Source organism: Homo sapiens, chromosome 12 (assembly GCF_000001405.40).
Source record: "Homo sapiens chromosome 12, GRCh38.p14 Primary Assembly".
In the NCBI taxonomy this organism is placed as follows: Eukaryota; Metazoa; Chordata; class Mammalia; order Primates; family Hominidae; genus Homo; species Homo sapiens.
Window position 1 is genome coordinate 94,313,549 of NC_000012.12, and position 17,840 is coordinate 94,331,388.

The 17,840-nt window shown below is 38.7% G+C and overlaps 1 protein-coding gene across 28 annotated transcripts in view; it reads right to left on the reverse strand.

Annotated features, from left to right (window-relative positions):
- Nucleotides 1-17,840, reverse strand: part of CEP83 (centrosomal protein 83) — a 194,793-nt gene that overhangs the window by 47,887 nt on the left and 129,066 nt on the right. The window lies entirely within an intron of this gene.

Sequence of the window (17,840 nt, forward strand, 5' to 3'; positions counted from 1 at the left end):
GGGTGGGGAGCCAGGCACAGTGGCTCACGCCTATAATCCCAGCACTTTGGGAGGCCGAGGCGGACAGATCACAAGGTCAAGAGATTGAGACCATCCTGACCAACATGGTAAAACCCCATCTCTACTAAAAATATAAAAATTAGCTGGGCGTGGTGGCGGGTGCCTGTAGTTCCAGCTACTCAGGAGGCTGAGGCAGGAGAATCACTTGAACCTGGGAGGCGGAGGTTGCAGTGAGCCGAGATTGCACCACTGCACTCCAGCCTGGCAAAAAAGCAAGACTCTGTCTCAAAAAAGGAAAAGAAAAGAACTGAAGTAAAATTCAAAATTACAAGCACGTTTGTAAGTTATAAAGTACTACCAAATTAATAAAACTGAAGGATCAGAAAGCTAAGATAAATATGGATGCATCTGTTTAAAAGTTGCCTTTCTAAATCTTAAAAGGAAAAAATTTAAACTTTACAATATACAAAGGGAGAAATTCCTAAGTAAATCTTGTATGGTTTCATTAAACAATACGGAAAAGTCCAGGTAAAATGCAAAAGGAGTGTATGGAAAAAAGTAGTATTTTTTTTCAGTTTTTATACACAGGCCTTTTGTTTTTTAATAGAAAAACACCTAAAATGTTAAAACTCATTTAGTCGCTACAAACCTTTTAGGTATTTTCTAACTCTTTTTTAACTGAAGTATAATCTTACAGCAAAATGCATAGAATAGAAACGTAAAGCTCAAAGAAAAACCACAAAACAAATGCTGGCATGATTTCCTTGTAGGTCAAGAGCACTGCCATGCCAGAAGGGCCCCTACCTTTCCCCCTTCCAATCACTAGCCCTGTCATCCTCTGAAAGGGTAACCAACTAATTTACTTCCAAAACTATAGTTTACTTTTGCCTATTTTTGAACCTCATATACATACAATCATAGTATGTAGTCTTTTATTAATGACTTTATTTCACTCAACATTGTTAGTGAGATTTATGTTACTTACAGATATACTTCATTCATTCCCACATATTATATTCCACTTACGATTATTGCATAACCTAGTATATTCACTCAGTACACCGTTAAGGGTTATCTGCATTATTTCCAGTTGGGACTATTACAAATAACTCTGCTACGAGCATTCATTCTCATGCTTTGATTGTCCCACATCCTCCAACATCTCAGAAGGCTTCCTTATGCTCCTGTCTACCCTGGCAAAGGAACCACTCTTCTGGTTTTTATCACCATAAGTATTTATTTATGAATTTATAGGCAGTTAAGGAGTCCATCTGTCTATCCATCCACCCATTCATATGAAAGAAATCATAAATTTATGCTCTTTTGTATCTGGACTTTTTTCTCAACATTTTATCTATATGACTAAGCCATGGTTATGTATTGTCACAGTACTTCTTTTTCATTGCAATGTTGTCATTCATTGTACAAATATACCACATTTTATACATTTTCCTGTTAATGAAAATTTAAATTCTTTCCAGTCTGGGGATATCATAAATATTTTACGAACATTCCTAAACATGTTTTTCGCAGATTAAGTACCTCATTCTCTTCAGTATATACCTATGAATGGGTCATAGTGTATACATGTTTTAGCTTTAGTAGATACTGCCAGTTTTCTAAAGCAGTTTTACCAATTACATTTCCACCAGCAATATGTGAGAGTTCTAGCTGTTCTACATTTTTGCCAGTACTTGGTATGGTCGGTCTTTTAGCTTTTGCATCCTGTTTTGGTGAAATACAGTATCTCACTGTAGTTTTAATTTACATTTTCCTGATAGCTAAAGGTATTGAGCATCTTTTTTTATGCATGTTAGTCATCTGGATATCCCTTCTTTGTGACGTGTCCATCCTAGTCTTTTGTCCATTAAAACTTTTGAGTAACCTGATTCCTACTGATTTGTAGTTCTTTATATATTCAAGATATGAATCGTATGTCAGATATATATGTATTGCAGATTGACCTTCTCCAGCCTGTGGTGTCATTTTCTTTTGCTTAAGAGTATCCCTTAATAAAAAGATTTTAATTTAAATAAAATCAATTACATCAATCATGTATTTTATAGTAGGAACTTTTTGCATCCTGCTTATCTTTATTATCCCAAGATCCTAAAATTTTCTCCCAAGTTTTCATCTAGAAGCTTTATTTTTTTTTTTTACCTATCACACTTAGGTGTATGGTTCATTTTTATCTATGTTGTGAGGTTAGGCTGAGTTTAATCTATTGACTCACTACTATTTGAAGGAACATCCTTTATCGAAATGCAGTGGTACCTTTAGTGTAAACCTATTTCTGGACTCTATACTGTTCCATTTGCCTGTTTATCCTTATGCCAATACCACACTGAATTACTGTAGCTTATATTTAGTGTTGATACCTGGTAGTTTTAAGTCCTCTAGTTTTATTGTTCTTCAAGATTGCTTTGGGTATTCTAGTCCTTTGTACTTTCAGATGAATTTTAGAATCTACTTTCTAATTTCTACAAAGAAACCTGCTGAGATTTTGATTAGAACTGCATTCAACTTATGGATAAATTTGGGAAGAACTGACACCTTAATATTGAATCTTCCAAGTCATGAACATGGTACAGTTTTCCCTTTAGGCATTTTTCCATTTTTCTTAGCAGTATTTGTATTTCAGTGTAGAAGTCATAAACATCTTTCACTAGATTTGTTCCTAGGTATTTTAGGTATTTTTATGCTATTGTAAATGGCATTTAAATATTTTCTAATTGTGTGTGTAAAGAAAAATAACTAGTATTTGTTACTTGACTTCGTACTTAGAAATTTTAAAAATTCATATTAATTTTAATAGTTTGATAGGTTTGACTTTTATGCATGCACAGTGACATCTGTGAATAATTTTAAATTCCTGTCTACTCTTTATGTCCATTTCTTTATTCTTAAAACTTTTTTTAGGCTCAGAGGTACATGTGCAGGTTTGTTTTATAGGTAAATAGATTATTTCATCACCCAGGTACTAAGCCTAGTACCCAAGTTATTTTTTCTGATCCTCTCCTTCCTCCCATGCTCCAGTCTCAAGTAGGCCCCAGTATCTGTTGCTCCCCTTTGTGTCCATGTGTTCTCATCATTTAGCTCCCACTTATGACAATGAAAACATGCAGTATTCGGTTTTCCTTTTTTGTGTTAGTTTGCTAAGGATAATGGCCTCTTGCTCCATCCATGTACCTGGCAAAGGACATTATCTCATTCTTTTTTATGGCTATATAGTATTCCATGGTGTATATATACCGCATTTTCTTTATCCAATCTTCCATTGATGGGCATTTAGGTTGATTCCATGTCTTTGCTATTGTGAATAGTGTTGCAATGAACATATGCATGTGTCTTTATGGCAGAAAGATTTATATTCCTTTGAGTATATTTACCCAGTAATGGGATTGCTGGGTCCAATGGTAGTTGTTTCTAGCTCTTTGAGGAATTACCACACTGCTTTCCACAATGGTTGAACTAATTTACACTCCCACCAACAGTGTATCAAAGTATTCCCTTTTCTCCACAACCTCGCCAGAATCTGCTATTTTTTTATTTTTTAATAGCCATTCTGACTGGTGTAAGATGGTATCTCATTGTGGTTTTGATTTGCATTTCTCTAATGATCAGTGACATTGAGCTTTATTTCATATGCTTGTTGGTCACATGTATGTCTTTTGAAAATGATCTGTTCATTTCCTTTGCCCACTTTTGATGGGGTTGTTTTTATCCTGTAAATTTAAGTTCTTTATAGATGCTAGATAGACCTTTGTCAGATGCAGATGCATAGCTTCTAAATATCTTCTCCCATTCTGTAGGTTATCTGTCTACTCTGTTGACAGTTTCTTTTGCTGTGCAGAAGCTCTTAAGTTTAATTAGAACCCATTTATCAACTTTTGCTTTTGTCGTGATTGCTTTTGGCATCTTCATCATGAAATCTTTGCCAGTTCCTATGTCCTGAATGGTATTGCCTAGGTTGTCCTCCAGTGTTTTTATAGTTTTGGATTTTACATTTAAGTCTTTAATCCTTCTTGAGTTGACTTTTGCATATGGTGTAAGGAAGAGGTCTAGTTTCAATCTTCTGCATATGGCTAGCTGTTTATCCCAGCACCATTTAATGAATGGGGTGTCCTTTTTCCCATTGCTTGTTTTTGTCAGCTTTGTTGAAGATCAGATGATTGTAGCTGTGAGGCCTTAATTCTGGTTACTCTATTCTGTTCCATTGATTTATGTGTTTGTTTTTGTATCAATATCATGCTGTTTTGGTTATTGTTGCTCTATAGTATAGTTTTAAGTCAGGTAGCATGATGACTCCACGTTTTTTGTTGTTGTTGTTTGGCATAGGATTGCTGTGGCTATTTGGACTCTTTTTTGGTTCCACATGAATTTTAAAAGTTTTTTTCTAGTTCCATGAAGAATGCCATTGGTAGTGTGATAGAAATAGCACTGAATCAATAAATTGCTTTTGACAGTATGGCCATTTTAATGATATTGATTCTTCCTATCCATGAGCATGGAAAGTTTTGCCATTTATTTGTATCATCTCTGATTTGTCTAAGCAGTGTTTTATAATTATCATTGTAGAGATCATTCACCCACATTTAGCTGTATTCCTAGGTATTTTATTTTGTGCAATTGTGAATGGGATTGCATTCCTGATTTGGCTCTCAGCTTGGCTGTTGGTGTACAGGAATGCTAGTGATTTTTGTACATTGAGTTTGTATCTTGAAACTTTGCTAAAGTTATCAGCTGAAGGAGCTTTTTGGATTGAGACTATGGGGGTTTCCTAAACATAAAACCATGTCGACTGCAAACATGAATAGTTTCACTTCCTCTCCTCCTACTTGGATGCCCTTTATTTCTTTCTTTCTCTTGCCTAACTACTCTGGCCAGGACTTTTAATACTATGTTGAATGGGAGTGGTGAGAGAGGGTATAATTGTCTTGTGCTGGTTTTCAAAGAGAATGCTTCCATATTTTGCCCATTCAGTATGATGTTAGCTGTGGGTTTGTCACAGATGGCTCTCACATTTTGTAGTATGTTCCTTCAATACTTAGTTTATTGAGTTTTTAATAGAAAGGGATGGTGAATTTTATCAAAAGCCTTTTCTACATCTATTGAGATAACCATGTGGTTTTTGTCTTTAGTCCTGTTTATGTGATGAATCACATTTATTGATTTGCACATGTTGAATCAACCTTGCATCCCAAAGATAAAACCTACATAATCATGGTAGATTAGGTTTTTGATGTGCTACTGGATTCGGTTTGTAAGCATTTTGTTAAGGATTTCTGCATCAATATTCGTCAAAGATATTGGCCTAAAGTTTTCATTGTTGTGTCTCTGCCAGGTTTTGTTATCAGGACAATGCTGGCTTCACAGAATGATTTGGGAAGGATTTCCTGCTCCTCTATTTTTTGTTAACAGTTTCAGGAGAAGCAGTACCAGCTCTTCTTTGAACATTTGGTAGCATGTGGCTGTGAATCCATCTGGCCCTGGGCTTTTTTTGGTTGGCAGGTATTTACTACTGCCTCAATTTCAGAACTCATTATTGGTCTGTACAGGAAATCAACTTCTTCCTGGTTCTATCTTGGGAAGGTGTATGTGTCCAGAAATTTATCTGTCTCTTCTAGCTTTGTTAGTTTGTATGCAGAAAGGTGTTTATAGTTGTCTGTGACGGTTGTTTGTATTTCTGTGGGGTCAGTGGTAACATCCCCTCTGTCATTTCTAATTGTGTTTATTTGGATCTTCTCATTTTTCTTCATTAGGCTAACTAGTGGCCTAACAATTTTTTCAAAAACGCAACTCCCGTATTAGTTAATCTTTTGAATGGCTGTTCATGTTTTGATCTCCTTCTGTTCAGCTCTAATGCTAGCTTTGGGTTGGTTTTCTCTTGGTCCTCTCATTGTTTTAGTTGTGCTGCTAGGTTGCTGATATCTTTTTTAACTGTTTGATGTGGGCATTTGGTGCTATAAATTTCCCTCATAACATTGCCTTAGCTGTGTCCCAGAGATTCTGGTATGTTGTATCTTTTTTCTCTTAGTTTCAAATAACTTCTCGATTTCTGCCTTAATTTCATTCTTTACTCAAAAGTCATTCAGGAGCAGGTTAACTTCCATGTAAATGGTTTTGAGCAATTATATTTTTAGTCTTGATTTCAATTTTTATTGTGCTGTGTGTTTGGTATTTCAGTTCTTTTGCATTTGCTGAGGATTGTTTTATGTCTGATTGTGTGGTCAATTTCAGAGTATGTGCCATGCAGCAATGAGAAGAATGTATATTCCTGTTGTTTTTGGATGTAGAGTTCTGTAGAGGTCTATCAGATCTATCTGGTCCAATGTTAAGTTCACGTCCTGAATATCTTTGTTAACTTTCTTCCTCAAGGATTTAATACTGTCAGTGGAATGTGGAAGTCTCCCACTGTTATTGTGTGGGAGTATAAATCTCTTTGTAGGTCTCTAAGAACTTGCTTTATGAATCCGGGTGCTCCTATGTTGGGTGCATATATATTTAGGATAGTTACGTCTTCTTATTGAATTGAACCCTTTACCATTATGTAAACCCGTGTCTTTTTTGATTTTTGTTGGTTTAAAATGTTTTGTCTGAAACTAGGATTGCAACCCTGGCATTTTTCTGATTTCCATTTGCTTGGCAGATGTTCCTCCATCCATTTATTTTGAGCCTATGGGTGTCATTGCATATAAGATGGGTCTCTTGAAGACAGCATATCACTGGGTCTTGCTTTTTTATCCAGCTTGCCACTCTGTGCCTTTTAAATGGGGGCACTTAGCCCATTTATATTCAAGGTCAGTATTAATATGTGTGGATTTGATCCTGTCATTGTGTTGTTAGCTGGTTATTAGGCTGGCTTGTGTGGTTGCTTTATAGTGTGGCTCATCTGTGTACTTAAGTGTGTTTCTGTATTGGCTGGTAACCATCTTTTTTTTTTAATGCTCTCTCTCAGCAGAATCATGGTAACCATCTTTCTATATTTAGTGTTCCTGTCAAGATCTCTTGTGAGATGGGTCTCCATTTAACAAGCATTTGCTTATCTAAAACTCCCTCAGTATTTGCTTATCTAAAAAGGATCTTATTTCTCCTTTGTCGAGGAAGGTTAGTTTGGCTGGATATGAAATTCTTGGTTGAAGATTTTTTTAAGAATGTTGACTATAGGTCCCCAGTCTCTCCTGGCTTGAAGGGCTCCTGCTGAGAAGTCAGCTGTTATCCTGAGGGGGTTTCCTTTGTAGGTGACCTGCCCTTTTTCTCCAAGTGCCTTTAATATTCTTTCATTTTGACCTTGGAAAATCTGATGATTATGTGTCTTGGGGATTATCTTCCTGTGTAGAATTTTGTTCTCTATAGTTCCTGTTGGTCTCTCTAGTGAGGCTGAGGAAGTTTTCTTGGACAATATCCTGAAATATGTTTCCTAAGTTGTTTGCTTTCTCCCCAACCCTTTCAGGGATGCCAGTGATTTGTAGATTTGGTCTCTTTACATAATCTCATATTTCTTGGAGGTTTTGTTCATTCTTTTCTATTCTTCTTTTTTATTTTTGTCTGACTGTCTTACTCCAAAGAGCCAGTATTCAAGTTCTGAAATTATTCAGCTTGGTCTCTCTCTTCTGCTGTTAATACTTGTGATTGCATTGTGACATTCTTGTGTTTTTCAGCTCTATCAGATCAGTTAGGTTCTTTTTTATACTGGCTATTTCATCTGTCAGTGCCTGTATCGTTTTATTGTGATTCTTAGATTCCTTGGATTGGGTTTTGCCATTCTCCTGAATCTTGATTATCTTCATGCCTATTCATATTCTGAATTCTATTTGTGTCACTTCAGCCAACTCAGCCTGGTTAAGAACCCTTGTTGGAGAACTAGTGGCCATTTGACACTCCGACCATCTGTGTTGCTAGAGTTCTTCCGTTGATTCCTTCTGTCTGATGGTTCCATCTCTGCGTGGGGGTGTTCCTTTAACTGCTGGGCTGCCTCTGATTGAAGTGGTCAGGCAAGCTCAGGGTAGTTGTGCTACAGTTCCAGGTTGGGTGACCCTGCCCAGGGAGGAGAAGTGAGGACTGGGACTTGCATAGAGAACAGTCTGGCCACTTTTCTGAGGTAGGTGCTTTGTGTTGGGCATCCGTACCAGCCCCTGGTCCCCACAGACTCTCCAGAACCTGGAGACAGTAAGAGTGAGGGCTACAAGACAGCAAAGATGGCAACCCATCCCTCCCACTAGGAGCTCTGTCCCAGACAGTAACAGAGCTGCTACTGGCTGGATGGCCCTGGTGGGGATGGCTGGAGATTCAGGTTGGGAGGACGTGCTCAGTGAGGAGATATAGAATCAAGGACCCAAATAACAGTCTGGCCACTTTTCCATAGGGCTGCTACAGTATGCTGGGGGTCCGCTCCAATCCCTTTTCATCTTAAATTTTCCAGTACCTGAAGATATCAACAAGGAAGTCTGTGAAACAGCAAAGATGGAGGACTGCCTTCTCTCTGGGAACTCTGTCCCAGGGAGGCACGGACCTGTTGCTGGCAGAACACACTAACAGGAGGTGGCTAGAGACCTCGGTTGGGAGATCCTACCTAGTGAGGAGTAACAGGATCAGGGACCCACATACAAAAGCCGTCTAGCTTTTTCCATAGGGTAGCCATGCTTTGCTAGGGGTCCACTCCAGCCGCTAATCACCTCAGACTCTCTAAAGCCTGAAGACAACAGCTAAGGCTGCTAAACAGCAGAAGTGGTGGTCCACCCCTCTCTTTGGGAGCTCTGTTCCAGGGAGGTTTGAAACTGTTGCTAGCCAAAAAACACTGGTGCAGGTGGCTGGAAACCCTGGTCAAAAGGTCCTGTCCACTGAGGAGGAATGGGATTAGGGATTCAAGTAAAAAAGCAGTCTGGCCACTTTTTCATAGAGCAGTTGTGCTGTGAGGGGGTACCTCGAGAACAGTTGCTTCAGACTCTCCAAATCCCAAAGGCAAAGAGATAAGGCTGCAAAACAGCAAAGCTGGCACCCTGCCCCTCTCTCTGGGAGAGCCATTCCAGGGAGGTTTGAAACTGCTGCTGGCCAGAAAACACTGGTTGGGGTATGGTTGTAGACCTCAGTCGGGAGATCCCACCCAGTGAGGAGAAATGAGATCCAGGAGCCACATGAGGAAGCAGCCTGACCACTTCTCCTTAGAGCTGCTGCTCTGTACCAGGGGATCACTCCAGTCCCTAACCAACTCAGACTCCCTAGAGCCCAAAGGCAACAATGGCTAAGAATGTGAAACATCAAAGATGACAGCCCCATCCCTCCCCCTGGGAACTCTGTCCCAGGGTGGCTTGGAACCACTGCCAGCTGGAAAACACCAACAAGGGTGACTAGTGACCCTGGTCGGGAGGTCCCCCACCCATTGAAAAGCAGGGTCTGGGACCTGCATAAAAAAGCAGTCTGGATGCTTTTCCATAGGGTGGCTGCAATGAAGGCAATAGCTAAGGCTACAAAACAGCAAAGATGGCAGCCCACCCCTCCCTCTGGGAGCTCCATCTCAGAGAGGTGTAACACTGCTACCAGTGGCTGGCTAGAGTTCCAAGCCAGTGGGTCTTATCCTGCAAGGTGCCATGGTAGTGGGGCCTGCAGACTGTCACTGCTCTATCCCCTGTATACAGCCTCTTTCCTAGGGGTATGTACAGGGGTCTAACGTCCTGCTTGGCTGGAGTTGCAGTTGCTTTTGATGGGAAACCTGGGTATCTAAAGCTCCCAGGGCTCTACGTGTATCTGAGCGGCTGCATTGCTGAGACTCCACATAATTCTGTGTAACAGGCTGCAGACCCTGGTGGAGTGGGCTCACAAGGGGATCTCCTGACCTGTGGGTTGCAAAGATCCAAGGGAGAAGCGTGGGTCGCTGGGGTCACTCACTCACTCACCACTTCCCTGGGAAGAGGAGGCTCCTCTGGCTCTGTGTCACTCCCAAGTGGATGACTGTCCTGATTGCTCTTCTCCATTCTTTCTGGGTCAAGTTGTTTTCTTGATGAATCCCAATGCGTGTACCTGGATGCTTCAGTTGAAGGTGCTGTATTTACTTACTCCTTCTATTTCTCTCCATGAAAGTGGCACACACCAGCTGCTTCTAGTTGGCCATCTTGACCAGCCTCCCCCTCCATTTCTTTTTCTTGCCTTATTACACTAACTAGAACCTCCGATAAAATATTAAACAAAATGGTGATAGTAGACATCTGTTCCTGACCTTGGGTAAGTAAGGGGAAGCAGTCAATATTTTTAATCAGTAAGTATGATGTTAGCTGCAGAATTTTTATAGATACCATTTATAAGATTGAAAATTCCCTTCTGTTCCCAGTTTGGCAAAAGTTTTTATCATGAATGGGTACTGAATGTTGTCAAATTATGTTTCACACTAGAGATCACAATAGTTTTCCTTCTTTGTTCTGTTAGGGTGTTGAATTACACTGAACAATTTTGCATGTTAAGCCACCTATATTCCCAGAATAAAACCTAAATGCTCATGCTATATTATCATTTTTCTATATCACTAAATTCAGTTTGCTAATATTTAAGATTTTTACATGTTTATAATGCAATTTTTCTTATATTGATTCTATCAGGTTCTAATCTCATAAGTGGAGATGTGTTTCCTCCTTTTCTATCATCTGGAAGAGTTTGCGTTAAGATTAGTATTAATTCTTCCTTAAGTATTTGGAATAATTTACCAGTGAAGCCAAATGAGGCATTTCTTTGTGGAAGGTTTTTAACTAAAGATTTCATTTCATTAATAGATACAGGACTATCCAAATGACCTAATTCTTCTTGTATTAGGTTTAAGATGTTCTTAAAGAAATGTATTCATTTATTCTAAATTGCATGATTAATTAGCATAATAGTTTTTATACTATTCCTTTTGTTTTAATATCTATATGCAGATAGTTAATATCTATAGATAGATATCCCTTTTTTCATTCACTACATTGTTCATTTGTGGCTCTAATCTCATCTCATCTACTTTGTGGGGAGTCTGAGGACAATCAGTCTTGCCAAGGCTTTATCAATTTCGTAATCTTTTTAAAACCAACTCTTGGCATTTCTATTTTCCTCACTGTACATCTTCTGTCTCTGTCACTGATTTGTGCTCATCTCTTGATGATGGTGATGTTGTTTGCTATTAAATCTATCCATTGAGTTAATTATTGTTATTGTATTTTTTTAGTTCTAAACTCATCTTTTTTAGTGCTGATCTGTAACCTGGACAACTAAAACATGGTTTCCCTGACTCCTATTCTGCCCCTCTACACAACAGCCAGAGATTCTTCAAAAATGTAATTCAGATATCACTTCTCAATTCAAAAACCTCCAGTGTGTTCCTACCTTAACTGAGAATAAAAGCTGAAGTCATGGCATAAATTTGGCCTCCTACTATACCTCTTTCTATTCTAGCTCCCTGGGCCTCCTGTGTTCCCTCAACATACCAAGCAGATTCCTGCCTCTCTTGTACTTGCTATTCCCTCTGGAACACCCTTACCTTACATATAACAACATGGCATCCTCCCTCCTTTCCTTCAGTCTCTGCTCAAATGTTACCTTACCAGAGAAGCCTTGCCTGACCACCTACATAAAACAGCACCCCCTACTCCTGTCAATTTTCTCTCCCTTTTTTTTTTTTGAGATGGAGTCTTGCTGTGCTGCCCAGGCTGGAATGTGCTGCCACCATCTCCGCTCACTGCAACCTCTGCCTCCAGGGTTCAAGCAATTCTCCCTGCCTTAGCCCCCTGACTAGCTGGGATTACAGGCACCCGCCACCATGCCCGGCTAATTTTTGTAGTTTTAGTAGAGATGGGGTTTCCCCATGTTGGCCAGGCTGGTCTCAAACTCCTGACCTCAGGTGATCTGTCCGCCTTGGCCTCCCAAAGTGCTGGGATTACAGGCGTGAGTCACCGCACCCAGCCTACTCCTGTCAATTTTCCTCTTAGTACTCACCTCCACCTGATAGTATTTCTTTCTTTATTCTATGTCTCCTAACAAACTACAATGTAAACTCCATGGTGCAGGGTCTTTGTTTACTTCTGTATTCCAGTGAATGAGTAAGTACCTGATACATAATAGATGCTTAACAGATATGTTGAGTAAATTGGATAAATGAATACAGATAAACCTCGTAGGGAAGACAGTCTGACCAAGGATGTTAGTAATAGGAATGAAAAGAAATATGGGGTGGGGGAAAATTTGAGAGGCATCATAAAGGAAGAATTCATAGGCTTTATGAGTTCTTATTTTAGGTTGAATAATGTCTCCCAAAAATTCATGGGCACCCAGAATGTGACTGTGGTATAAGAAGAAATATATTTGGTCTTTGTACCCAGATCCTGGTACAAAGCTGCTAAGACCTATGGAATTGTATAAGTGATAGGAGTGGTTTTTGTATAATTCTTAGCAAGTCCCCTTCAATCATACCTGAGTTGATGTTAATGAGGTAACTTAGAGTTGAGGTCCCTAGATAGCCTAAGGATGGGGGCTGGTCACCAGAAAGACCAAGTGATTAGATGGTGAATGCTTTCAGGTTCACTCCCCTGACCCGTAAGAAGGGGAGGGGGCTGGAAACTCTTCAACAATGAGATTTTGAGAGCTTCCGGGCTGGTGACCACATTGACTTGCTGGGAGGGTGGCTCACACAGAGAGGGCATGGAGGCTCTGCACCACAATCCCCGACCCCCAACACCTTGCCCAATGCATTTCTCCCATTTGGCTATTCCTGACTTTTATCCTTTACAATAAACTGGTAAATATAGTGTTTTCCTGAATTTTGTGAGCCATTCTAGCAAATTATCAAACTGGAGGAGGGGGTCATGGGAACCCCTAAGTTAGTCAGTCAGAATATAGGTGACTCAGACTTGCAACTGGTGTCTGCAGTTGGGGCAGTCTTGTGGGACTGAGCCGTTTAACTTGTGGGATCTGACTCTAACTCCAGGTAGATAGTTTCAGAATTGAATTTTTGGACACCTGGTTGGTATCCAGAGAACAAAGAAATGATTGCTGGTATTGGAAAACACCCTAGAGTAACCTTATTTGGAAATAGGGTCTACAAATGTAATCAAGTTAAGATGAAGTTAGATTGGATTCGAGTGGGCCCTAAATCCACTATGACTGGTGTCCTTACATAACAGGAGTGAAATCTGGACACAGAGCTACAGATACACAGGGAGACCATCATGTAAAGACAAGGCAGAGACCAGAGTGATGTGCCTGTCTAAAACCCAAGAACTCCAAGGATTACCAGCAACTACCAGAAGCTACACAAGGGGCATGAAAAAAGATCCTCCTCCAGAGCCTTTTGAAGAAGGATGCTCCTGCTGGCACTCTGACTGTAGATTTCTAGGCTCCAGAACTGTGAGAGAATAAGCTTTTGTTGTTTTAAGCCACAAGGTTTGTGGTAATTTGTCATAGCAGCCCTAGGAAACTAATATAGTGCCTGACTAAATTTGGAGATAAGGCAGACCTCAGGATGAATCACAGGTTTGAAGCCTAAGTGACTGGAAGAATAACTTCTACTGAAAGAAATGCAAAGTCCAGAGGTAAAATTAGTGGAAAGGAATGATTCTAATTTTTACTTGAGTGGTCCAACACAATCACAGGATAGTCAAATCGATGCCTTAGTGTTATAAACAATATGACACAAAGGACTAATAGAACAATTAAAACAATATAGATATAAGAATTAAGGCTGGGATTCCCCTTTTACCACCCTCTAGTCAAATCCAATTAACTTTTTTTCAATGATCATGTTAATGACCATTTATCTTTGATAACTTTCTTTACCTTTGGTTCCCATAACATCACAATATAGCTTCTACCTCTGTTCACCACCACACCTAGCTCCTCGTTCTAAGTAAACTTAGTATTCTTCAGTGATCTGCAAAATCCTGAGTTTCTAATTATATTTCTCTAATTTGAATTATTCATCTCTGTACTTCACATTCTATTATTTCTAGTTACCTATATAATATCTTTACTTAAGAGTCTACGTCATGTCTACATGGATGCACTGCCATCATTTCCTATCTGACATGTGTTTTTTATCTTTCTACTCAACTGACATTCTTCAATCCATTATCATAACTCCACTTACATCTTCTCACAGCTAAAATACTTCATAGTTTTCTTTCTTATTTACCAATATATTCTGCAATTATTTTTTCCTTTGGAATACCTCTGGCAGTCACGCTTTACCTTCATTCCTATATTCCAAGCCCCAATTCTAGACTTCTTACCTCACTTTAAGTTTACTATAACAGCTTCCTAACTGGTCTCCTTGTCTTCAGACTTTTGTCTGTCTAGCACAGTGGTTCTCAAACTTTAGAGTCCACATAAATCACCCAGGAGTGACTAGTGGGATTATTTAGGTGTTTCTTGCATGTTATCTTATTTCTCCAGCAAGATTATATAGTTATCAAAGCCAAGGAGTAATCATGGCTTCTATTTCTCCCCAGTGTATAGTGTAATCTAGGCCACACAACATATTCAATCAGATATTTTGCAACTTCAAGACTATGATTCATCTCTTTTTTGAAAACATTCATAATAGTATCTGACCAAGAATTATTTCAGAGACGTATACCTTAGAATAAAATTAACAAGTTGTCATTTCAGGTTCCTCAAGAAAAAAGAAAAAAACCCAACTCACTGTGTTCACTTCAAGAGATCTCTCTTCAATGGGGGTGGGGGGAATACACTCTCTCTGTATGTATCAGTCACAGAAGGGCATCCCAACTCAAGATCCTGTTCAAGCTTTTCCAAACAAATCAACACAACAAAACATCATTTACACCAAAGACTACTTAAAAACAGCAGAAATGACAATCTCTGTGCTCAGGAGCTTGGAGCTCTGAGTAAACACAGACGGCAGCGAGCCATCTTACCCAGCCTCAGGGAAAAAAGAACTTTTCACAGGAAAGCAACTCCAAAGGATTATTTCTGCACTGGGTTCATAATTTGTGACTTTTGTTACATCTTACGGCAAAAAATGCTATGACTTTTGGCATTAAAGAATCTAAGAAGTCTGTTGCACTCTTATGAATTATATTTATGTAATCTGATAGCCAAAATGGTCAAATAGAAGCATTATCTTTAACTTGAATGGGAAAAGGGTATGAGTTAAATTAATTTACAGTGATTATTCTGACATAAGAAACGACTCATATGGACCATAGCTATATTAAGCGAAAAGTTGTAAAGTATTTGGAATCAAGGAAAGTAGGAAATTAAAGCCTAACAGCGCAGTGGAAAGAGCACCAGACTGAGAACAGAAACATGTAGATTTTAGTCAACTTTTGATTCTTACTAGTTAAGTAATCTTGGGTACCTCCTACTTTAGGTTGCTAACTTGTAAAAGCTATTTGAATGCTAAGATCCCTTCCAGTCCTAAAATTATACATACTTATATACTTTTTAATTGTATTTCTAAGTTACACATGATGTTTTTCTATTTTAATTGATGTAAACTTGTAAGCTCCTAGGGCAGTGTCCCACATAGTAGGACAATTCTAGGTCATAATCATTCACTGAATTGACCTTAACAATTTCACTATGACTTAAATCACAATCCATAGATCACATTTTAAAAAGTAAAATGACTATCTACTATCTTCACACTCATCATCTGGTAGACATTTCAGTAGAAAAAAAAATTCATCCTGTCACAATACTAATGAAATGTTACTTTGTAGTGTTTTGGGGTTTTTTTGTTTAATTATTATTTTTTTTTGAGATAGGGTCTTGCTGTGTCATCCAGGCTGGAGGGCAGTGGTGCCATCACAGCTCTTTGCAATCTTGAACTCCTGGGCTCAAGCAATCCTCCCACCTCAGCCTTCCAAGTAGCTGGGACTACAAGCATGTGCCACCATGCACAGTTTTTTCATGTTTTATAGAGATGGGGTCTGGCTATATTTTGTAGATTTTTAAAAATATAACCTCCTCCACTCCTTCTGGTATACTTATGATTAGCTGATAATCTCACCACTGGGTGTCACTTTTGCTTCAAAAGAATTCAACCCAAACTAACCTTAATAATTAGAATTTGATCTGTAAGATACTTATTCCTAAAGCCTCAAAATTTAGCTCTTAAAATTTCTTGCTGTAACACGGCTTCAGATGTTTCTAGGCTTCAAACACAGTGCAAACAAAAATCAGTAGGATTTCTGAGTTCATAGGTCATAAAACAATCCTCTGAAATCCCATTAATATTCATACACTTTTCAGTACCTACATCGACAGAAAGGAAGAAAAGTGACATATACAGAAAAACAAACAAGTGTGCATATTTGGGTATAAAACACTGGGATCCCTATATAATAAATGCTGTTTTTCCAATAATACTACTTCTAGCATTATGAGAAGATAAAAGTAATATTCAGAGACCAAGAAAGTAGAGAAGGAATGACTTTTAGACTACTCATGTTGTCACTCCAACCATCAGCAACATTTGGCAGTGATATCCAATTACATAAAAAGGGGTCTAGGAACTGCTGTGTGGTTTTCAAATTCAGAATAACTGAACGATCTACAGTTATTTTCTCTTATCCAAATATAAACAGTTAACCTTTCCAATAAACAGATATTAAGATAATGGTTCCTGCACCTAGAAGCATTTTCCTCTCACCTCAGATCTTCTCTCCTCTCCACAACAAATGCTACTATTAGGGGAATTTATCAAATGAAGACAACTCAAATCATTTGTGGGACTTTACATATAACACGCACACACACACACACACACTTTATCATGTCCCTCCTCTTCCTCTAATCCTGTTGAAAAGATTACCATGTCCTTCCCCTCCCTTAATCACCACCATAAGTCATGGTTACTAATGGGACCTGTTATATTATTCTTGGGTTTGCTGAAATAGAAAAAAGTTGTAAGTCACTGATTTAGAAGATCCATCTAGATACATTATTTCCATGATGCCCTGGATTGTTTCCAAGAAAACAAAGTTAGGTTCTGGAGAAAAGTATGCCTGCAAAGGTAAAACTTAAAAAGGATCACAATGCTGTGGGAACTCCTGTGGCAGTTTCAGAAACCAAGGGAGTCCCATTTCCTCCTGCTGGAGCAAAGAAATACTTGCTCTTGTATTTCTGAATTGGAAACAAAAAAGCCTTTTAACCACAAAAGCAATAAAACAGATATTAGGTATAAATGAAACAAGCTTAATCACACTATAATTTAACTGGAGAATGTGTTAAATATGACTTCCATGGGATGGCCTGGAAACTATCACTCTGAAAAACACCTTCTGTATGGAAAAATGCATGTCAGCTCAAAACAACTGACTTACATACAAAATTTAGAAACAAACCTGCTGGACAGTTTGGATTTTCCCAATTTATTTCTGCAAGGTTGACAGCAAAATGTCATGCTTATATATCAAATTAAACATATCACTAAAATCTCAGATTCAACTATATACTTTATTCTCCTATAAGAGTTTATTAGGATGGACGCGGTAGCTCACACCTCTTAATCCCAGCACTTTGGGAGGCTGAGGTGGGAGGATCACTTGAGGTCAGGAGTTTGAGACCAGTCTGGCAAACATGGGAAACCCTGTCTCTACTAAAAATACAAAAATTAGTCGGGTGTGGTGGCATGTGCCTATAATTCCAGCTACTCGAAAGGCTGAGGTATGAGAATCGCTTGAACCCAGGGGATGGAGGTTGCAGTGAGCCAAGATTGCACCACTGCAATCCAACCTGGGTGATGGGAGTCAGACTCTCAGAAAAAAAAAAAAAAAAAAAAAAAAAAAGATTTAATTATATTTTACTCCATAGAAATCACCTTTTTTCCTTTTTTTTTTTTTTTTTTTTTTTTTTTGCGA